At 41.2% G+C, this 23368-nt stretch overlaps 1 protein-coding gene across 1 annotated transcript, besides 6 other annotated features; it reads right to left on the reverse strand.

Annotated features, from left to right (window-relative positions):
• Nucleotides 13442–14782: a meiotic recombination region, noted in NCBI's record as "meiotic double-strand break mapped by DNA meiotic recombinase 1 chromatin immunoprecipitation followed by single-stranded DNA enrichment and sequencing in the germ cells of some male individuals with the PRDM9 A/A genotype". NCBI's record gives the evidence for it as "EXISTENCE:chromatin immunoprecipitation-seq evidence [ECO:0000229][PMID:25395542]".
• Nucleotides 13442–14875: a biological region, named in NCBI's record as "meiotic recombination hotspot DMB2".
• Nucleotides 13576–14875: a meiotic recombination region, noted in NCBI's record as "crossovers mapped in sperm cells of males of European ancestry". NCBI's record gives the evidence for it as "EXISTENCE:DNA detection assay evidence [ECO:0005519][PMID:11586303]".
• Nucleotides 13797–13809: a nucleotide motif, noted in NCBI's record as "nucleotide motif; similarity to the predicted 13-mer PRDM9 A binding motif (LD hotspot motif), CCNCCNTNNCCNC". NCBI's record gives the evidence for it as "COORDINATES:motif similarity evidence [ECO:0000028][PMID:19165926]".
• Nucleotides 14785–14800: a nucleotide motif, noted in NCBI's record as "nucleotide motif; similarity to the predicted 16-mer PRDM9 C-type binding motif, CCNCNNTNNNCNTNNC". NCBI's record gives the evidence for it as "COORDINATES:motif similarity evidence [ECO:0000028][PMID:21750151]".
• Nucleotides 16339–22731, reverse strand: HLA-DMB (major histocompatibility complex, class II, DM beta). Its single transcript, NM_002118.5, has 6 exons — nucleotides 22456–22731; nucleotides 20387–20668; nucleotides 18875–19159; nucleotides 17239–17355; nucleotides 17045–17080; nucleotides 16339–16690 (listed from the first exon to the last, which is right to left on the reverse strand). The coding sequence occupies exons 1-6, from the start codon at nucleotides 22508–22510 to the stop codon at nucleotides 16674–16676; spliced, it is 792 nt and encodes a 263-aa protein (NP_002109.2). The 5' UTR covers nucleotides 22511–22731; the 3' UTR covers nucleotides 16339–16673.
• Nucleotides 17126–17925: a meiotic recombination region, noted in NCBI's record as "crossovers mapped in sperm cells of males of European ancestry". NCBI's record gives the evidence for it as "EXISTENCE:DNA detection assay evidence [ECO:0005519][PMID:11586303]".
• Nucleotides 22732–23368: the final 637 nt, after the last annotated feature.

The following is a 23368-nucleotide window of genomic DNA, read 5'->3' on the forward strand; positions in this document are numbered from 1 at the left end:
TAAGAAGCTTTTGGGCTGAGACAATGGGGTTTTCTAGATATAGGATCATGTCATCTACAAACAGGGATAGTTTATCTTTCTCTCTTCCTATTTGGACGTCTTTATTTGTTTCTTTTGCCCAATTGCCCCAGCCAGGACTTCCAACGCTATGTTGAGTAGGAGTGGTGAGAGAGGGCATCCTTGTCTTGTGCTGGTTTTTAAGGGGAATGCTTCCACCTTTTGCTCATTCAGCAAGATGTTGGCTGTGGGTTTGTCATATATGGCTCTTATTATTTTTGAGGTATATTCCTTCAATACCTAGTTTATTGAAAGTTTTTAATATGAATGCATATGGCAAATCCTCTTAAAGCAGAAAGATATGTAAAGATTGAAATTTAAAAACAGGGAAAAAAGATTTACCTGGTGGCAAATATGACACAAAAGAAAGTTGGGCAACAGTCTCAATATGTAACAAAATAGAATTGATTTTTTTTTGGGAGGGGGACAGAGTCTTCCTCTGTCTCCCAGGCTGGAGTGCAATGGCACAATCTCGGCTCACTGCAACCTCTGCCTCCTGGGTTCAAGTGATTCGCCTGTCTCAGCCTCCCGAGTAGCTGGGATTACAGGTGTGCCACCATGCCCAGCTAATTTTTTGTATTTTTAGTAGAAACAGGGTTTCACCATGCTAGCCAGGCTGGTCTTGAACTTCTGACCTCAGGTGATATACCCGCCTCAGCCTCCCAAAGTGCTAGGATTACAGGCATGAGCTACCGTGCCCGGCCTATGCACTTTATTTATTTATTTATTTATTTATTTATTTATTTATTTTTGAGACAGAGTTTCACTCTTGTTGCCCAGGCTGGAGTGCAATGGTGCGATCCCGGTACACTGCAGCCTCTGCCTCCTGGATTCAACCGATTCTCCCTACTCAGCCTCCCGAGTAGCTGGGATTACAGGCATGTGCCACCATGCTCGGCTACTTTTGTATTTTTAGTAGAGTTGGGGTTTCATCATGTTGGTTAGGCTGGTCTTGAACTCCTGACCTCAGGTGATCCACCTGCCTCAGCCTCCCAAAGTGCTAAGATTACAAGCGTGAGCCACGACGTCCAGCCTGCACTTTATTTTTAACCTTAAATTCTATTTTGGGCCAGGTGCAGTGGTTCATGCCTGTAATCCCAGCATTTCGGGAGGCTGAGGAGGACGGATTACCTGAGGTCAGGAGTTCGAGATCAGCCTGGCTAACATGGTGAAACGCCATCTCTACTAAAAATACAAAAAGATTAGCCGGTCATGGTGGCACGCACCTGTAATCCCAGCTACTCGGGAGGCTGAGGCAGAAGAATCGCTTGAACCTGGGAGATGGAGGTTGCAGTGAGCCAAGACTGTGCCACTGCACTCCAGCCTGGGCAATAAGAACGAAACTCCATCTCAAAAAAAAATAAAAATAAAAAAAATAAAGTGCATAAAGGACAAAAGAAAAGATGTTCATATAACTTTTAAAGAAACAAGAAGATATAGTAATCATAAATATATATAAACTCAACAATACAGCCTCACAATTTATAAAGCAACAAGTGAAAGAACTACAGTTAGAAGTTGAGTTTTTTAAAAATACATTTGATGATTTTTACAAACCCTCTCTCAAAAACTGGTAGATAAACTAGACCAAAAAGAAAAAAAAAAAAAAAGCAGAGTTCTTGAAGGGCAAAATAATAAAATTATATAAGTTCAAGCTAATTAATAAAACCTGAATAAATAAGAAACTGATAGACTCTCTCACATTAAAAATGACCAAAGAGACATGAAAACTTACTGAAATGCTTGATTCTGGATTGCAGGACAAGAGACTGGGAGTGGCTGGAGTTATAAGGTTCTTTATTGGGAAAACTGGTAAAATTTGAATATGTACTGTGGATTAGCTAATATTATATCCAAGTTAAATTTTCTTAATATGACTGTTTTTCTGTGTTTATGTAAGAGAACAGCCTTGTTCTTAGGAAATACATTGAAATATTTAGCAGGAAAGGGGCATGTGTGTATGTAACTCCAGACTTCCTAACCATTTTAGAGTAAACCATTTTTTCTCTCTAATGTTTTTTCATAACCATTTTAGAGTAAGTCCCTAAAATGGACTTAGGAATATTAATGTTTTTTAGGAAAAAAACAGAGAGGGAAGCAGAGACAGAGAGAAAAAGAAAGCAAATATGACAAAATGTTGCAAATCATTGAATTTGGACAAGTGTACGTAAGAATTCTTTGTACTACTCTTCTAAAATTACTTCAAAATAAAAAGTTTTTAAATGTCACAAGTAACCTGTGAGTTAAAAGAAAAATATAAAGAATATGTAGAATTAAATAAAAATTAAAACACTGCATATCAAAATGTGTTAGATATGATTAAAGCAGAACTTAGAAGGAAATTTTTTACCTTTAAATACACTTACTAGGAAACACAAAAAAAGACCAAAATCAATAAGCTGAGTGTTCAACTCAAACGCTAGGTAAAGAGGAAGAGAATACACCCAAAGGAGGAAGGAAATAGTAAAGATAGTCATAAATGAAATAGAGAACTAAAAACAATAAAATAGATGAACAAAAACAAAAGCTGCCCTTTGAAAAGACATTTCTATTTATTATTCCAGGAAACAGAATGAAGAACAAAATCTGCCTAGGTTATTGTTTAGAGAAATTTTTATTACAAAAACAAACAAGGAAATACAAGAAAGGCAAGTTTTACGTCCATGCTTTATAAAAGTAAATACAACAACCCAAGTAAAATATTAACTAAATAACACCAACAGTAAATGAGTAACTATAGGATGAACAAATAGGGTTTATCCCAGGAATGCAAAGATGTTTCACATTTTAAAAATCTCTCAATATAATTCACTATATTAGGAGATTAAGAAGGAAAATACAATGAAATGAGTCAATTCTGATAAACTATTTTTTAAATGTAAAAAACCATTTATGTTTAAAAAATAAACTTTTAGAAAACCAGGAATAAAAGGAAACCTACTAATTTAGTAAAGGTTGACAGCAAAGACTTCTGGAAAAATTGAGTAGACATACTTTTTCCTATTCATCTCACTAAGTACAACTAAAAACTCTGGACATTATATATATATAAAACAAACATAAGAAGACTCTAAAAGGTGGAAATGAGAAGGCAGAACAGCTAGAATCTCAGGATCTGAGGAATGACATACTAGTGAGTTCCCTGGGCTTTCTTTTTGCCACATATATGCTGGGCTTGGAGCTGAAGAAAGTGACAATTTGGAAAGACCAACTGGCACAAACAAACAAACAAACAGAAAAAGCCCCAACAACACTTACAACAAAAGCCCTGATATCACTAGCCAAAAGACCAAGACAGAGGCAGGCAAGCCTGTCAAGCCTTAGAAAGTAACTGTTCAGTTCTAGGCAAATACCATAGCAATAACTGTGACTCTACTGCCATTCACACCAGAAAGACCAAGTGGGAGACCTAAACTTTCACCCTCTTGAAGCTGTAACAAGGTGCTCCAACATCACTCTGCAGTGGTATCCAAGAAGACCAATTAGGAAGCTAAGAATTTCATTTCTGCAAGCCAGTAATGGGGCCCCCTCTCTAAGATGTCAATGGAGATGGGGGCGGGGGGAGAACACCTGCCCAGAAATAATGAAAATGGCTAAAAGAAGTTATCTAAACAGAATGGAAATGATAAAATAGGAACCTTGGAACATCAAGGAAGAAGATAGAACAAGGTAAGCAAATAGATGGGTAAATACAATAAATTTTTCTTCTCCTCTTAAGTTTTCTAAAGTATGTTTGATGGTTGAAGCCAAAATTATAACACTGATGTGGTTCTAAATGTATGTAGAGGAAACATTTAAGACAATCGTATTTTCAGTGAGGAGGATAAAGGGATGGGACATAAATTAGGAAGGTAAGATTTTTATTATTTACTCAAAATGGTAAATGATGACTCCAGCAGACTGTGACAAGTTACATGTATATGTAATACTTAAAGCAACCACTTAAAAGTTATGCATCAATACACTCAAAAACACTGTAGATAAATAAAACTGGCGTTCTAAAAAATGCCCAAGTAAGCCACAGAAAGTCAGAAAAGAGTAAACAGAGATGAAAACTGGAGAGAACAAACAAAATAAATGAAAAACAATTAAGCCCTTCATGTTACTACAGGTTGGATTGTGTCCCACAGAATCCCATGTTGAAGCCCTAACCACCAATGGGACTATATTTGGAGATAGGGCCTTTTACAGAAGTAATTCAGGTTAAATGAATTCATAAGGGTAGGGCCATGATTCAATAGGATTAATTCAATAGGAAGAGAAACCAGGGTATGCTCTCTTGCTCTTTCTCCCTCCCAGCCTTCCTCTCTCTTTCTCTCTCACTCTGCCCCCAGAAGATGGCAACTCTCTCTATAAGCCAGGAAGAGCCCTTACCAGAAGCTGACCATGCTGGCGCCTTGATCTCAGACTTCCAACCTCCAGAACTGTGAGAGAATATATTTCTGTTGTTTAAGCCACCTAGTTTTATTTTGTTATGGCACCCCAAGCTAATACATATATCAATAATTACATTATTCCTAATACAAAGAAATGATAAATTCTTGAGGTGGTAGATGCCCCAATTACTCTGATTTGGTCATTGCACATTGTATGCCTGTAACTAACATCACATGTACCTCACTAATATATACAACGGTTGTGTACCCATAATAATTAAACATAAAAATTAAGAAAAAAAATTACACTAAATGCAAATGATCTAAATACCTCAATTAAGAAACCCAGTTCAGGCCAGGCATGGTGGCTTACACCTGTAAACCCAGCACTCTACAAAAAAAAACAAACAAACAAAAAACAAAAACAAAAACAAAAAAAAACCCAGTTCAAATATAACAATATAGGCCAGGCTCAGTGGCTCTCAGCACTTTGGGAGGCTAAGCCAGGTGGATAATTTGAGGTAGGTCAGGAGTTCGAGACCAGCCTGGCCTACATGGTGAAACCCCGTCTCTACTAAAATACAAAAATTAGCCAGGCATGGTGGTGTGCACCTGTGGTCCCAGCTACTCAGGAGGCTGAGGCAGGAGAATCGCTTGACCCTGGAAGACAGAGGTTGCCGTGAGCAGAGATTGTGCCGCTGCACTCCAGCCTAGGTGACAAGATGAGACTTTGTCTCAAAAAAAACACAAAACAAACAAAAACAACAATAAAACCACACAAATATAACAACATAGGCAGGTTAAAAGTAAAAGGATGGAAAAAGACACAACATGTTTTCCTTAATTAGAGGAATACAGGAGTGAGTGTACTACTCTCAGATAAGGTAAACTTCAGAGCCAAAACAAAAAAAATTACCAGAGAAAGATAAGGACGTTTTATAATAATAGAAGGGTCAGTCTATCAAGAAGACATTGCAGTCAGAAATGTTTATGCCCAAAACACCAGAGCTGTAAAATATGTGAAGCAAAAACTGACGGAACTGAAAGAAAAAATAGAAAATCCACAATTATAATTGGAGACATCAACACAACTCTCACAACTATTAATAAAACTAGAAAGAAGGCAGGGAGTGGTGGCTCAGGCCTGTAATCCCAGCACTTTGGGAGGCCGAGGGGGGTGGATCACGAGGTCAGGAGATCGAGACCATCCTGGCTAACACGGTGAAACCCCGACTCTACTAAAAATACAAAAAATTAGCTGGGCGTGGTGGCGGGCGCCTGTAGTCCCAGATACTCGGGAGGCTGAGGCAGGAGAATGGCGTGAACCTGGGGACGGAGCTTTCAGTGAGCTGAGATCCTGCCACTGCACTCCAGCAGCCTGGGGGACAGAGCAAGACTCTGTCTCAAAAAAAATAAAAATAAAAAAATAAAAACTAGAAAGAAAATCAGCAAAGATGTAGAAGAGCTCAATAACACCATCAACCAACAGGATCAAATCCACATTTACAGGACACTCCACCCATCAATAGCAGAATACACATTGGCTCTTTTTTGTTGTTTTTCTTTTCCGGTTTTACTAGGTGCAAGGGGTACATATGCAGGTTTGTTACATGGGTAAATTGCGTGTCACAAGGGTTTGGTGTACAGATAATTTTAAAAGAATTTAAATTATACAAACTTTTCTCTGACTACAATGGAATCAAATTAGAAATCAATAACGGAAAGACAGCAGAGGAAAAATCATCAGCATAATACCCGATAGGTGCTTTTTCAATCATCACTGTCCTCCCACCCTCCACCCTCAAATAGGCCCCAGTGTCTATTTTTCCCATCTTTGTGTCCATGTGTATGCAATTAGCTGGTTTTTTGCTCCTGCGGTAATTTGTTTAGGATTATGGCCTCCAGTTCCATCTATGTTGCTGCAAAGGCCATGATCCCATTTTTTATAGCTGTGTAGTATTTCATGGTGTATATGTACCACATCTTCTTTATCCAGTGCACTGTTGATGAGCACTGGATAAAGAAATCTAGGTTCATTCCATGTCTTTGCTAACGTGAATAGCAGTGTGATGAACATGCATGTGCATGTGTCTTTATGACAGAACAATTTATATTCTTTTAGGTATATACCCAACAATGGAATTGCTGGGTTGTATGGGAATTTTGCTTTAAGTTCTTTGAGAAATCTCCAGACTGCTTTCCACAGTGCCTGAACTAATTTACATTACCCCCAATAGTGTACAAGTGTTCCTTTTTCTCCACAACCTTGTTAGCACCTGTTGTTTTTGACTTTTTAACAATAGCCATTCTGACTGGGGTGAGATGGTGTCTCATCATTGTTTTGATTTGCATTTCCCTAATGATTAGTTATACTGAGCATTTTTTTCACATGCTTGTTGGCCGCACAGAATATACATTCTTTTGAAGTGTCCATGCAACATATACCAAGTTGGACTATATCCAGGGCCATAAAACAAATATTGATAAATTTAAAAGAATATAAATTATACAGAATGTGTTCTCTGACTACATTGGAATCAAACTAGAAATAAATAACAGAAAGATGACAGAGGAAAGTCAAGAAACTAAGCGAAAACTTTTAAATACTCTACGAGTCAAAAAATAAATCTCAAAGGAAATTTAAAAATACACTGAATTGAAAGAAAATAAGAATACAACATATCAAAAATTTCTAGGAGAGACAACCCACAGAATGAGAGAAGATATTTGCAAACTACCCCTCTAACAAAGGATTAATAACTAGAATATATAAGGAGTTCAGACAACTCTATAGGAAAAAAGAGTTCAATAGTCCAAACAAAAAATGAGCTGATCTGAATAGACATTTCTCAAAAGAAGACATACAAATGGCAATCAGGCTTATGAAAGGTGCTCAACATTATGAATCATCAGAGAAATGCAAATCAGAAGTTCAATGAGATATTATCTCACTTCAGTTAAAATAGCTTGTATGCAGGCTGGACACGGTGGCTCACACCTGTAATCCCAGCACTGAGGGAGGCCGAGGCGGGCAGATCACCTGAGGTCAGGAGTTCAAGACCAGCCTGGCCAATATGGTGAAACCCTGTCTCTACTAAAAATACAAAAATTAGCTGGGCATGGTGGGCCATGCCTGTAGTCCCAACTACTTGGGAGGCTGAGGCAGAAGAATCGCTTGAACCTGGGAGATGGAGGTTGCAGTGAGCAGAGATTGGGCCACTGCACTCCAGCCTGGGCAACTGAGTAAGACTCCATCTCAAAAAAAAATGGCTTGTATCCAAAAGACAGGCAATAACAAGTACTGGTGAGTATGTGGAGAAGGCTTTGTACACTGTTGGCAGGAATATAAATTAGTACAACCACCATGGAGAACAGCTTGGAAGTTCCTCCAAAAAAATTAAAATTGAGCTACCATATGATCCAGCAATCCCACTGCTGGGAATATACCCGAAAGAAAGAAAATTAGTATTTCAAAGAGATATCTGCACTCCTATGTTAATTGCAGCATTGTTTACAATAGCTAAGACTTCGGAGCAACCTAAGTGTCTATCGACAGATGAATGGATAAAGAAAATGTGGTACATACATACAATGGAGTACTATTTAGCTAGAAAAAAGAATGATATCCAGTTATTTGCAACAACATAGATGGAACTGGAGATCATTATGTTAAGTGAAATAAGCCAGGTACAGAAAGACAAACATGACATGTTCTCATTTATTTGTGGGATCTAAAAATCAAAACAATTGAACTAATGGACATAGTGAGTAGAAGGATGGTTACCAGAGCCTGAGAAAAGTAGTGGATAGCTGAGCGGGGAGGTGGGGATGGTTAATGGGTACAAAAAAAGTAGAAAGAATGAATATGACCTACTATTTGATAGCACAATAGAGTGACTATAGTCAAAAATAACTTAATTGTATATTTTTAAGTTACTTAAAGAATGTAATTGAATTGTTTGTAACTCAAAGGATAAATGCTTGAGGGAATGGCTACCCCATTCTCCATGATTTGGTTATTTCACATTCCAGGCGTGTATCAAAACATCTCATGTACCCCATAAACATATACACCTACCATGAACCCACGAAATATTTTCAAAATAATAAAAAAAATTATAGGACACAGCTAAACCAGTGCTGAAAGGGAAATTTATAGCATTAAATGCATACATTAAAAAGAAGAAAAACTGGGTGCTACTTGGGAGGCTGAGGCAGGAAAGGATCACTTGAGCCCAGTAGTTCGAGGCCAGCCTGGGCAACATAAGGAGACCTTGTCTCTTTAAAAAAAAAAAAAAGTACACAAATTAATAATTCAAACTCTCATCTCAAGAGCCCAGAAAAAGAAGATCAAAATACATCCAAAGAAGAAAGGAAGGCCGAGCACTGTGGCTCACGCCTGTAATCCCAATAGTTTGGGAGGCCAAGGCAGGTGGATCACTTGAGCTCAGGAGTTAGAGACCAGCCTGCCCAACATGGTGAATCTCTGCTTCTACTAAAATTACAAAAAATTAGCCAAATGTGGTGGCAGGCGCTTGTAGTCCCAGCTACCTGGAAGGTTGAGGCAGGAGAATCACTTGAGCCCAGGAGGCGGAGGTTGTAGTGAGGTGAGATTGCACCACTGCACTCCAGCCTGGGCCACAGAGTGAGACACAAAAAGTTGCTTCTTTGAAAAGATCAGTCAACTGATGAACCTCTAGCAGACTACACTGACAAAGAAGAAAGAAAGAATATAGAAATGTCCACAGGGAATATCCCTACACACCCTGCAGACATCGGAAAAACATAAATGGTGCTGGAACAATTGAACATTCAAGGGCCATAGGAGGAGAGAAAGACAACAAGGAGGAAAAGAAGGAGGAGCAGCAGTTTAATCTAAGACTCATACCTTCTGCAAAAATTGACTCAATATGGATTACAAACTTCTATGCAAAATGTAAAACTATAAAACTTTTAGAATAAGATAGGGGAAAATCTTCTGAATCTAGATCTGGGCAACAAGTTCTTAGATTTGACACCAAAAACATGATCTGTAAAATGAAAAAATGGATATATTAGACCTGATTAAAACTAAAAACTGTTGCTCTGTGAAAGACTTGTAAAGGAATGAAAAGGCAAGCTACATAATGGAAGAAAATATTTGCAAATCATGTATCCAACAAAGGACTAGTATCTAGAATATATAACAACTTATCAAAACTCAGGCCAGGCCCCCTGGCTCATGCCTGTAATCCCAGCACTTTGGGAGGCTGAGGCGAGTGGATGACTTGAGGTCAGGAGTTTGAGACCAGCCTAGCCAACATGGTGAAACTCTGTCTCTACTAAAAATACTAAAAATTAGCTGGGCGTTGTGGCACACGCCTGTAATCCCAGGAGGTAGAGGTTGGGGTGAGCCGAGGTCATGCCACTGCACTCTAGCCTGAGTGACAGAGTAAGACTCCATCTCAGAAAAAAAAAGAAAAAAAATCAACAGTTTGAAAAAAATTAATTAGAAAATGGGAAAAATTCATGAAGAGACATTTCATTAAAAGGATATACAGATGGCAAATAAGCACATGAAAAGATGTTCGATATCATTAGCCATTAAGGAAACGCAAATTAAAACCACAATAAGATCTCACTACACACATATTAGAATGGCTGAAATAAAAAATAGTGACAATAAGCCAGGCGCAGTGGCTCATGCCTGTAATCCCAGAACTTTGGGAGGCTGAGGCAGGCGGATCATGAGGACAGGAGATTGAGACCATCCTGGCTAACATGGTGAAACCCCATCTCTACTAAAAATACAAAAAATTAGCCGGGCGTGGTGGCGGGCGCCTATAGTCCCAGCTACTTGGGAGGCTGAGGCAGGAGAATGGCGCGAACCCGGGAGGTGGAGCTTGCAGTGAGCCAAGATCGCACCACTGCACTCCAGCCTGGGCAACAGTGCAAGACTCCATCTCAAAAAAAATAAAAAAAATAGTGACAATACCAAATGCCTGTGAGGATGCAGTAAAACAATCACTCGCACATTGCTGGTGCAACCACTCTGGAAAACACTTTGACAGTTTATTTAAAAAACTAAAAATGCAACCACCATACAATTCAGCAGGTACACTCCTGGGCATTTGCTCCAGAGACATTAAGACTTATGTCCACACAAAAACTTATATTCATATCAGCCAAATCTGGAAACAACCCAGATGTGATGGACAGATGGCTAAACTAACTGTGCTATACCCATACCATATAATACAACTAGGCAATAATAAATTATTGATATATGCAACAACCTTGTATGATCTCCAGAGAAATACATTGAGAGAAAAAAAAGTCAATCCCAAAAGTGTATATACTATATGTTTCCATTTATTAATCATTTGTTTTAAAATGACAAAAAAAAATTTGTCTTGAAGTGACAAAGTCATAGAAATGGATAAGAGATTAGTGATTGCTAGACATTAAGGAGGGTATGGGATGGTAGGGAAGTGGGTGTGTCTAGAAAAGGGCAAGGTGAAGAATCCTTGTGATCATAGAAGTGTTCTGTATTGTGGCTGTATCCATGTATCCTAATTGTGATATTGTACCATAGTTTTGCAAAATGTTACCATCAAGGGAAACTGGGTAAAGGATACACAGGATTGTTTTTATTATTTCTTACCACTGCATGTGAATCTACAATATACAGCAAAATTTATACTTAATGGAGAATATTTAGGTTTATTTCCTTTAAGAGTAATGCTCATTATCACCCTACTGTTTGACACAGCATTGAAGATCCTAGTCAACAACATGAAAAATAAAACACTAAGGATTAAGAGGGAAAACACAAAACAATGCTCGCAGATGATACTATTATCTACCTGGAAAAAGAGAGAGACAGAGAGAATATCAATAACAACAATGACAACAACAACAACAAAAACCCCACTAAAACCAATAAGAGGATCGAGCAAGGTTGTCCCATATAAGATCAACTTACAAAAATTATTAATTTCTAATATTTGAAAATCATATATCAGTATTTGAATATCATATATCCAATAAAGGGTTAATATTCAGAATATGTAAAGAACTCATAAAACCCAACAATAATTGTTTATACAAACAGTTAAAAAGGGGGCAACAAACTTCAACAGACATTTTTCCAAAGATGATATACAAGTGGCAAACACACATATGAAAAGATGCTCAGCATTACTTATTATTAGAGAAGTGCAAATTAAAACCATAACATCATCTAATTCTCATTAGCATGGCTACTATAAAAATGAAAGGAAAAAGGAAAGAAGGGAGGGAATGAAGGAGGGAGCAAATGAAGGAGGAAAGGAAAGAAGGAAGGAAGGAAGGAAGGGAGAGAGGGAGGGAAGAAATAAGTGTTGGTGAGGATGTAGAGACATTAGAACCTTTATATGCAATGTTCGTGGGATTGTAAAATGTGTAACTGCTATGGGAAACAGTACGGCAGTTCCTCAAAAAATCAGTAGTAAAACTACTATATGACCCAAGAGTCCACTTCTGGGTATAAATGCAAAAGAATTGAAAGCAGGGACTTAAGCAGATATTTTCCCCCATATTCATAGCAGCACTATTCTCGATAGCCAAGAGGTGGAAGCAACAAAGATGTCCATAGACAGATGAATGGGCAAACAAAATATGGCATATACATACAGTAGCTTATTATTCAGCCTAAAAAGGAAGAAAGCACTCTTACATGCTGCAACAAGTATGAATTTTAAGGACATTAAGCTAAGTGAAATAAGCCAATCGCCAAAAGACAAAAACTCCATGATTGCACTTGTACAGGGTATCTGAAGTAGTCAGATTCATAGAAACAGAATGTAGAGTGATAGTAGCCAGGGGCTAGAGGAAGAGAGAAATGAGGAGTTGTTGTTTAATGGGTGTAGAGTTCTGGTTTTGCAAGGTGAAAAGGAGTTCTGGAGATTGGTTGCACAAAAATGTGAATATACTTAACACTGCTGAGCTGTACACTTCAAAGTGGTTAAGACGGTAAATGTTATTTTTTTAACCACAATTTTTTAAATTAGATACATTCTTCTACATCAGAAATTACTGATTCAAAAGTAGAATTGCAATAAGATACCAATCACAATAGCAGCAAAAGCTACAACATGCCTAAGAATTAACTGAGCATACTCAGGACTACTATGAAAAAGTAAAGTTTAAAAACCATAATAAAGAGCAAACAAAATGATTTCAATAAATGAGAAAACATCCTGTTTTTGCATGGTATGATTTAGTAATAAAAACAAGTCAGTTAACCCCAAATTTCTATAAATTCAGTATAACCACAATCAAAATTCAAGTGGGGAAGACAGAACTAGAAGTGAGTGTCCTCCCAAACTCCCCAGTAGGAAACTACAAACTTAGTTTCTGTTGCTACTATGCGCTTGTCATTGTCCAAGGCCAAAAGAAGCCCAGATTTTGCACCTCTCTCTCCACCCCACAACATTGACGTTTTTCCTTCTTGTTGTGAATGTACTTCCTGTCCTCCATCTGTCCTTCTGGACCCACTCTCAATACTTCTGCACCTGGGGTCTGCCTCAGGTGCTGACCTGCATGACATTGAATGGCTCCCATGCTCCCTGGCTTCTTCTTGCTTCCAGCATCAGCCTAAGAGCAGAGGGAAGAGGGGAGTGAGGTCAGTGTTTCTAATCCCTTGGCTTCCTCCCTACAAGGTCACCTTAAGCTGTTGTGTCCCTTGACTGAAGGGCACTGCCCTTGGCAAGGTGGTGACTGTACAGGGCTTGCTGTCCTTCTGAGTCCTGATAACCCCTTCTGTCCCCGGCCTCTTTGGACCTTGGGGTAGTAACAGCTATCCTCCACCCAGTTCTTTGTAAATACTTTGCTAATAAATAAACTTTCCTTGAAATGTCCTATTTCGAGTATGCCATCTGTTTTCTGTTGAGACTCTGATACAATAAAAGCCATTTCTTTATTCCCTGCCCCAGACCAGCACGGCCAGGGGCCTCTTAGAAGCCTCATATGAAATGGAAGAGGAAGGGTCTGGAGAAACAAGGAGCCCCCCATCTGGGAGTAGTCTCTATAGGTTTGGGGCCTCTCCACTCTCTGAAACCCCTGGAGACTGGTCTGGCCAAGTAGTGGCAGGAAGCACCACGGAGAAATCCCCCATGCCTTGCTTCAAGGCAGTTGGAGGGCTCTTGGGAATGACAGACACTCAAGCCAAAAAAAAAAAAGGATTTGAGGATGGGGTTGAACTCCACCCTCGTTTTTCATCTGATTTGCCCAATTTTACTTTGGAAAGAGAAAAACTTGAGAAAATGGCCTAAAGATAATTTTCATAAATAGACATTGGGATTAAATGTCAATCTTGTCTGTTTCTTTCACATGCATGTGTTCGTGGGTAGGGAGGCAAAGAGAACCTGGAACCTAGGAACATGCTCTCCCTCAGGGAAAAAAAAAATGCCAAGGATACCACCTCCCGTGGTGTATTTGAGATTTATTCTCATTGTCTTTAATGGTCAAAAGAAGAAGCTCAAATGTGGGCTCAACGCGTTTCTCTAAAATATTGTTATCTGCCCCAAGTGTTGAAGGAACTCCCTGCACTGTGTGTGCCCTTGTTAACACAGGCCCAGTTCTTTCATGGGAGGGGAGGTGGACTAGATGACCTTTAAAACCAATTCTAGCTCCAAGTTCAGCTTTTAAAACAACAAGACATTGAAGGGCGAAAACAATTCTTTGTGCAGCTTGGATTATGTATAACCCGAAAGTCCAGCTCTCTCTCTCTTCCCCCGCTCCCCTCCCTCCCTCTCTCTATGTCCCTCTCCTTCTTTCTCCCACTCCACTTCTCTCCTCTCACCCTTTTGCTCCCTCTCTCTTACTCTCTTCCACTCCTTCTCTTTTTTTCCTCTCTTTCTCTCACATGTGCTCAAGTGCACACACACACACACACACACGCACTCCTTTTTTGGCAATCCATTATGTTTACATTCCATTCTCCTCATGCAGCATCCATTCTCTTCTCCTCATCCTCCTACAATTGGTGCACCATCACCCTTCTTCCACCTTCCTTTCAAGTACCACTCATTCCCCTGTGTAAGAACTCCCCTTTCTACCTATAGTATTCTGATTTTCTGGATCCTAGGAGACCTACATATACTTTTCCCTATTCCTTACCTGAAAGGGGACAGCCTTTCCTATAAAACAAAAAACCTACAAAGTTAGGGCAGAGAAAAGCCTGCACTGGGAATCTCTAGAAAAGGAACTGGAAGCCGTCCCATTAGCTAACTCTCTACTTCCTTTCTCTGGGATCCTGCCACTTTGATTCCCACTGCTGTGACTAGAACTAGACCCTTCAGATCTGCAGCTTCTCCTTTAAAACTGTCCAGATAGGCCTAGTGCGGTGGCTCACGCCTGTAATCCCAGCACTTTGGGAGGCTGAGGCAGGTGGATCACTTGAGGTCAGGAGATCGAGACCAGCCTGACCAACATGGTGAAACCCCATCCCTACTAAGAAAATACAAAATTAGCCAGGCATGGTGGTGCACGCCTGTAATCTCAGCTACTTGGGAGGCTGAGGCAGGAGAATCGCTTGAACATGGGAGGCAGAAGTTGCAATAAGCCGAGATCACGCCATTGCACTCCAGCCTGGGCAACAAGAGCAAAACTCTGTCTCGAAAAAAAATAAATAAATAAAATAAAAATAATAAATAAAACTGCCCAGATATAGACAAGGCCCAAAGCCCCCCATTCCTAGACTAAACTAGAATTTCAAAAGGAATTTGCTTTGTCAAACAAACAAAAATAAAAACAAAAACAGTGAATAGAAAAAAATGAAAATGAAACATAAAAATGGTAAAATGTAGAGATTAAGTTCCTTCCACTGACTTCTTCTGTTAACCCCTTCCAGAAGAGATGCTCTAATTCCAAGGATGCTTCTGAAGAAATTATGGAGGTGTTCCAAATCAACTCATTTCTTGGTTTCTTTTTCTTACCCATATTCTAGTATCTAGCTCTAATTCCAAAAACAATTCCACACCCTAGGTTTCTGTGTCCAGCAGGTGTCGCCCTTCGTGGGACAACAAACCACCAGCCAGCATCCTCTCTTCCTTAGGGTGGAGTCCATTCCCCCAAAGGGCTCTCCTTGGTCTTGGGGTAGAAGGGAATGGAACGGTGGCTCTGAAGAGATGTGTGCTCACCAGCATGAGGGTCTTCAGAATAAAGTAATCTGCTACTTCCAGCTCAGGTAGACAAACATCCTACAGAAATCTGTTCTTTGACCTTGGACAAGTCACTTAAATGTCTCTGAGCCTCACATCTTTTGTCTGTAACATAGAGGGAAACAATCTGTCCCTTGTGTGGTTATTGTGAGAAGAGAATGAGCTACAAATATAAAGGTCTGAGACCAGTGCCTAAGACATAATAATCACTCAAGCTATGTTCCCTTCTGCATTCAGGGTATGGAAGAAATAACTGTCTAGAACTCAATCTGGAGTTAAGCTCTGTCCCCTGAATCCTGAGGGGTATGAGGGGTCTGCCTTACGGTTGTGATGAGGATCAAAGCACCTGGTACAATGCCTGGCCAGAAAGTTGAATAATCGAATATAGCTAACGTCACTATTGCAGGCTGGCTATGTGCCTGGCGGTGTTCTTAGCCATTTACAAGTATGAACTCATTTAATCCTCATAAGATCCTGTATGAGGTGAGTAAGCTGTTAATTCCCTTCCTTGCCCATACTCTGTGACTCCAACCCACCACAGTTGAATTTCTCCTTATGAATTATAAATCAGAAAACGGCCCCAAATTCTGTCATGTCTAAGTGGGAAAATGGAAGAAGGCATTGATTTCTCCCCTACTCAAGCAGAAGAGAATTAACCTCAGTCCCTGCTTTGCCCATATTCCTTCCCCAGGGCCCCAGGAAGAAGACATGGAAAAACAATATTTCCACCAAAGTTTATTTCTCTGAAACAATCACCAGTTGCTGTCCTCTATGGCACACTGAGAGCCCCAGGAGGGTCTTTAACTCCCTTCCTCAGATTATATTCATCCCAGAAATATAGCCTTGGACAATAATTTGGTTACAGCATAGTCCCAGGAATGAGGTCCCCCAAGTTGCTAAGTTTTACATAGGGGAGACTGGGAAATTCAAAGAATTGGATGGAGAAACCATAGGATCCAAGATAATGTCAGGGGGTTGAAGATGTTGGAGAGGCATGGTAGCATCATTGAGTTTGAATCTCCTTCTCACTTGGAGTGGAAGTTGTAGGATTCTGCCTCTAGGAAATGTGCCATCCTACAGAATAAATAAAAGGGAGATAATGAGGCTTCAACCCAACTTGCCCCCATCGTTTGTCACTGTAACCATCCCATGCCTTAATACAGTGATACTGAAAACTCCAGGGCACCAACAACTAATACAAAGGAAGCACCTTCAGCCTCCTCTCCACAGACATCCCACTTGGTAGAAGAGGAGGATGCTCCTTCCTGCTCTTAATCCTAGCAATGGCAGCTTAAATCATGCCCTTGCCTAGATCCTCATGGAAGCTCACCCATATAATAATCAAGATTAGTTGAACCCAACACTGACCCCTCTAACCCGCACCCCTACCAAAGGGCAAGTAGGGAAACAGACCAACAGAGATGTTACCTTCTGAATAATTGGACCCAGGAAGAGGAGTGTAACCTAAGAGAGGAAGATACTTGATTATACCAGTCTTTGTGGATGAAAATATCTAGCAGTATTCATAGCAAATGCAGTAGGAAGGAGAGAGTTAATCACAAACAGAAAGTAAGCAGAGAGTGGGACCAAGAGTGGGGATGGGAGTTCAGCGAGTCACTCACTAGAGTGGCCAGCTCTCCGCCAGCTGATCACACCAAGAGAGAAGATGATGAGGCCCAGGCCCAGAGTCACTGCAGACACAGAAACCTTCAGGGTCTGCATGGGGGACAGCCCAGGTGCTGCAAAAAATAGAAACTTACTTGACCCAGTTTCTGTTGCTCACCCCCAGGGCAATTCCATTTATTGCAGCCACCTCTCAGTGGGTTAAAAGGTCCTTTATCCCAGCTCCAAGGGTCTAGCTCACACCACCCACTCCCAAGAAAATGATCTTTCTCAAATCAAACCCTCGTCCCATGGACCTCTACTCCTAGAGTAAGCCTGGGGAACCCATCTCCCCAGAATTAGCATCCTGGCTTCCAGGTCCTCTCTAATACAGTGGGGCCTCTCAAGGCATCCTCTTTCCTTCCTTTACCCCAAAGCCACCCTTATCAGGATAAAGGGCTCCTCACTGTCCTCTCCATTGCCCCCACGGTAACAATGTTTGCTTCCTTACTTTCTCCAACTGAGCAGCTTCCTATTACACTGTCTTACCACATGTCTTAACCTCCAGTGGATCCATCCTGTGAGTTATCCTACTACTTGTGTACCTCCTACATCTAGATCTCCCATGTGTCCTTTCAGAGCTTGTCTCCATCCCACTCCACAGCCCCTGCACTTCCTTGGGCCGGTCCTGTTCTGAATCATGTCCCACTCAGATTCTTTTCCCATGATAAAATGAACACTCCATTTCTAAAGGGAGGCTCTTGTGCACGCTGTGAGGAGACGTTCCCCAGGAAAGTTCAAGTGAGCATGTGATTTCCACTCTCTTCTCTGTTCTCCATTCCCTTCCCAACTGCCCAGCAAGAAACAACACTTCCCACAAGGGGAAACCTGGTTACAGCAGCTGATCTGAGATCCTGTTCTCTGGCCCTTTGTAGACACCCTTCCTCTTCCTCATTTCTTCCTCTTTCTTTTCCAAGAGTCCCCAAAGCTGTGTGCAACTTCTCACGATACCTTTAACTACTCCCGACACTGAGTTCAAACAGTGTTTGAACTGTAAGTAATTCTTTATCCACTGGCCCCTGAGCATGCATGCCAAATGGTCTGCCAGCCGTGGCTTTACTACTCCCGTATGCTTGGTAGAGCAGGCCAAATGCAGTACTGCCCCACACCAAGAAAAGCCCCCCTTCTTCAACCTTCATCATTCCTTCAGCTCCCATCTGCTTCTGGCACCAGAATAGTTGAAATCTAAGGAGGCTAGAATAGTGTATTACAATTTGGGGTTCTGAAAATATGATTGCCAAATTTACAGCCTCATTTCAAAGCAAGCACGCTCCCCTCTCACCCTCAAACATAGACGCAGCAACATCAGCCACACCACCAGAGCAGCAATAGCACAGACTAAATATTAAACTGGTGCAAAAGTAATTGCGGTTTTTGCCACTGAAAGTAATGGCAAAAACTGCAATTACTTTTGCACCAACCTAAATATTTCCATTTCTTTATCCCATTTCCCCATTCTGGTCCTAAGCCCCCCGTAAGTTCCTCCAGACTCAGTCCCCATTTTCAGCACTTCGCTGTCTACCATGTACCATGTATCGATCCACATCTCATTTTCTCTGCTTTGACCCTAATTCCATCCATCTGCCATACACTTACTCCAGTCCCGAAGGATGGGCTCAGGAGCCCCAGTGTGCTCTACCACACAGGTGTAAGTGTCCCCGTAAGAGGGGGTTAAGGCTAAATGGGAGAGGGTCTGGTATGTCCAGTCTCCATTGGGCTGGGCAGTCTTGTGCGCACTGCTGTGAGGCATGACAAGCTTCCCGTTCTTCCTCCACGTGATAGTCACTTCTGCTGGATAGAAGCCCCACACATAGCAGGCCAGCATCACAGGCTCCCTCGTGTTAAAAGGAGTGGTTTTGGCTACTTGCACAGATGGTGGCCCTGCATAGGAGAAAAAAACATGTTTAGGAAGGAGGGTGACATTCTGGCTGCTTCCTCAACCTGGTTTCTTCCCTATCGCAACTCTTCGTAGATTTTGCAACCCACTTTCCACCCCAGCCCCCTCTGCCATGCTGCCCCTTGAAGGGGAACCGTTAGAATGTATTCCTGCATTACTCTTTCTTCTCTCCCATTCCTTCATTGCCCCTTTCTTTCTTTCCTCCTCCAGAATTATGTTTGATTACAATTAGTAAAAGCCAGATCTGAACTGCAAGCTGTTCTAGAAGTTGTTGTATTTATTTCAAGTACATAAACTGGAAAGTATTTGAAATAAGGAAGCTAAGAGTAATCCAGAGTTGTACATTGGGTTTTTTTAAGGTGGAAAAGGAATTTTTCTCCAAATCTTGTTTAATACGTTCTTTTGCTAGTTAAAGCTTTTTCTCCTCACATAGTTCAAGGAAACAAGCCTAACTTAGGACTCACTCTTAAATTTGGAATGAATGTAGTCAAACTAATGAGATTGCTAATACTGCCATCTTTTACTAATTTACTCTCCTAGGTGATCCTCTTGCTTGCCTCTATCTTGACATTTTTCAAACACAATCTTAAATAAAAATCCAAGGAATTATGTTAAAATGCAGATTTCCTAGGCTGTATCCCCAGATACTTTCTTTCAACAGATCTGGAGTGGTACTAAGGGGCTTGCATCTTTAACAAGCACCTCCTCCAGGCAATTCTGAGAAAGGTGGTTCAGAAACCACCCTTGAGACACACTGTTCTGTACTGTGGAGATCTTCAAGTTTACTTTCACAAACTTCAAGCCATTGTCAATGCAAGAGTTTAAGGGTGAGAAAAAGCATGTGTCAGAATCCCCTGGGATTCCAAATATTCCCATGCCTGGGCCCACATCAGATCTGGAACATCAAAATCTGGGATAACAAGGCAAGAACATCTTGGGTATGCATCCTGAGATGCCCCAGCCTCTGCATAAGCTCCCCACATGGCACCTCGCGGTTCAAGCCTCACCTCCCCTTCTTTACTCCTGTTCCACTCACGTCAGCCACCTTGTTCCCCTTGAGGTTCAATCCTCCGTCTTTCTACATTTCAGATCCACACATTTTCTCTTATTTGCTGCTCAAATCTCAAACCCCTGGGCCACTGTGGGATCCTCCCTGGCCTGCCCTCCTAACTGCACTTCCTGGTAGCCCCTCTGCACCCCTCTCTCCTCACGTGTCCTGTTGGTCAGTGATCCCCAGAAGGGCTGGGTGTGTGTGGCACAATTCTGAAGCCCATTGCGCAAGCGCTGCATCAGGGTGTCTTTTTGGTTGAGGTGCTGTGAGAGGACATTCGCCAAGCTATTCAGCACCCCAAATTCGCAAGGGGCCATCTTATTCTCCTCTGGATCCCAGCAGGTCAGCAGATCCTTGTTGAAGGAGATGCAGTATGTGAAATCCTTTGGAGTCCCAGCATCATCCAACAGACAGGTGCTTTCCACATGGGCCACGAAGCCACCTAGAGGAGCCAGGGAAGGGAGAACAGGTCAATGTCTTCTACTGGCCTGGCAATAAATAAATAAATATATAAATAATAAATATACACAAATAATAAATATATAAAACATACAGACGTATATTTAGGAGCTCTGCACAGAGCTTTGTCTTTGACCCTGGTTCCTGACATAGAGTGCCTAATCGCTTAGAATTTCCTAGATAACAGGAGTGTCTTTTGTTCTAATGAGGTACTCTTGGTGGGCTCCTGCAGGAGGGGCTGGTCACCAGAAAGACCAAGTCATGATTAGAAGTCTGGAACTTTTAGTCCCATCCCCCATACTCCCTGAAGGGGAAGGGGCTGGAGATTGAGTTAATAATCAGTCATGCCTACATGATGAAGCCTCCATAAAAATCCCGGAACTATGGAGTTCAGAGAACTTCTCAGTTGGTAAACACATCCACATGCCAGGAGGTGAAGTACCCCAATTCTGTGGGGACAGAGCTCCTGTGATTGGGACCCTTCCAGATCTGGTATCTCTTCATCTGGATGTTCCTTTGTATGCTTTAAAATATCCTTTGTTAAAGGATGCAAAATTATGATCTAGTGTTCTATACCACTGTGGGATGACTGTCATTAACAATAATACTTTATATCATTTCAAATCGCTAGAAGAAGGATATGGAATGTTTCCAACACAAAGAAATGATAAATGAGATGATGATCTGATCTGATCACTGTACATTACATGTACTAAAACATCATTATCCACCCCATGAATATTTATAATTATTATTATCAATTAAAATATCCTTTGTAAAAAATCTACAATAATAAGTAAACTTTTCCTGAGTTCCATAAGCCACTTTAGCAAATTACCAACCCCAAGGAGGGGGTCATGGGAACCTCTGATTTGTAGGCAAGTTGGACAGAAGATGTGGGTAATTTGGGAACCTACTACTTGTGATTGGTGTCTGAAATGGAGGCAGTCTTATGGGACTGAGTCTTTAACCTTTGGTGTCTATGTTAACTCTAGTTAATGTCACAATGGAATTGAATTATAGGATATCCAGCTAATATAGGAGAATTGGTTGGTATGAGTAAAAAAAAAAAAAAAACCTCACACAGTTGGTCAAAGAAGTGTTGAGTGTGAGCATATAGAAGAAAAAAAGTTGATTTTTCCTATATTCAGCTCAGAACCTAAGCCTTGGTGACATCCAGCTAGTCTGGCACAGATTTCCTGCTCAGGGAACATCTACTGACCAAGCTCATACACTGAAGTTTCTGAAAGTCTGATTTGAGGGAGTCAGTAGAAGTAGTAGATAAGTTTTTAGATCCAGTCTCCTCTTTATGCAAGACTAAGCACAGGGATAGGAGTAGCCCCCCGAGATTATTTGCATGTTTAAACATGACAATTTGCCCAGAACACAGACCTTCAGTAAGGCAAATTATTGAGAGAGAAAAAGGGTCAAGAGAAAGAGTCAGCCTTGTATTGTGCTGGAAATATTAAATATTCACTTCGCACATATTTATGAAGCACTTGCTGCATGCAAGGCACTGTGCTAGGAGCTGAGGAGGCAGCAATAAATAAGATGAACATTGTCCTTGCCTATATTCCAGCAGGGAATATACACTGCACAGATAATTATACAGATTAATTACATTAAAATTGCTACAAAGTACAAAGTGCTATAGGAATGTATACCAGGGAGACAAACTATCTGGGGTGTCAAATGCAATTACAAAACGGAACACCCTTACCCTGAAACAGGAGCAGGGGAAGGGAGAGTCCCCAGAAGAAGTGTCCTTACCTGCTCCTGTGCAGCCCAGGCTGAGCCCCAGCAGCAGCGGCAGGAATGTGATCATGCTCTGCTCTGTAAAGATGCCGGGAGTTCAGTCCCCTGGACCAGCTCTTCCAGGGTCCGTGGGTCCTCGCCTGTCCCAGAAGCCCCAGCCTGGGTAGATGATCTCCAGACACTGAGCAGAATACTATATTGCCCGGGTCCCTTGACCCCCCAAATGAGTGATGTGGGGATACCCAGCCCCTAGATATTAAATCTGTTCCTTCCAGCTCACGGGAGTCCAGTGTCCCAAACAGGGACAGATTGGCTAGGTAGGCAGGGACAAATGTAGAGACAAATCACTGAGTGCCTCAGCCTAGCATCATCAGTTACTAGGTAAACGTCATCCTGCCTTAGTCTTAGACAACAGGTCTCCTTGTCTCTCTTAATTCTTTTTCTGCAGAACAACCAGTAGATTTCCGTAGATTACTGGAGAGAATAATCGCAATATTCCCAGGATGTATGCAGCCTGGGCTGCCCACTGGTTTAACTTTTTCTTCTCAATGCTCTCCCAAAAGACCAGGACCAGATAACCTCTCCTATTCCTTACAGGGAGGTTACCCAAGAAGATAATTACAAAAACCCTTGTCTGTCCTGAGATGAGAGGACCCAGAGCCCTTCTGGGGCAGGTGGCAGAGGCAGGGCTGCTGAGAAGGAAGAAGGCACAGACAGAGTACAGAATTGTCTGGTCTCAAAGCAAGACTGCAGAATAAGGGAAGCAGCGCCACCATGGAGATCAGGAATAGGGGCCTGGAAAATCCCTCCATGGGCCTCCATTGTTGCTTCTGTTCTAGCCAGTCAAGCTTCATTTCCTCCTCAGTTATAATAGCTGCTTTCCGGAGCTAGTAAACCATATCCTCCTACACTCTGAGCAATCTCACGG

Source organism: Homo sapiens, chromosome 6 (genome assembly GCF_000001405.40).
Source record: "Homo sapiens chromosome 6, GRCh38.p14 Primary Assembly".
In the NCBI taxonomy this organism is placed as follows: domain Eukaryota; kingdom Metazoa; phylum Chordata; class Mammalia; order Primates; family Hominidae; genus Homo; species Homo sapiens.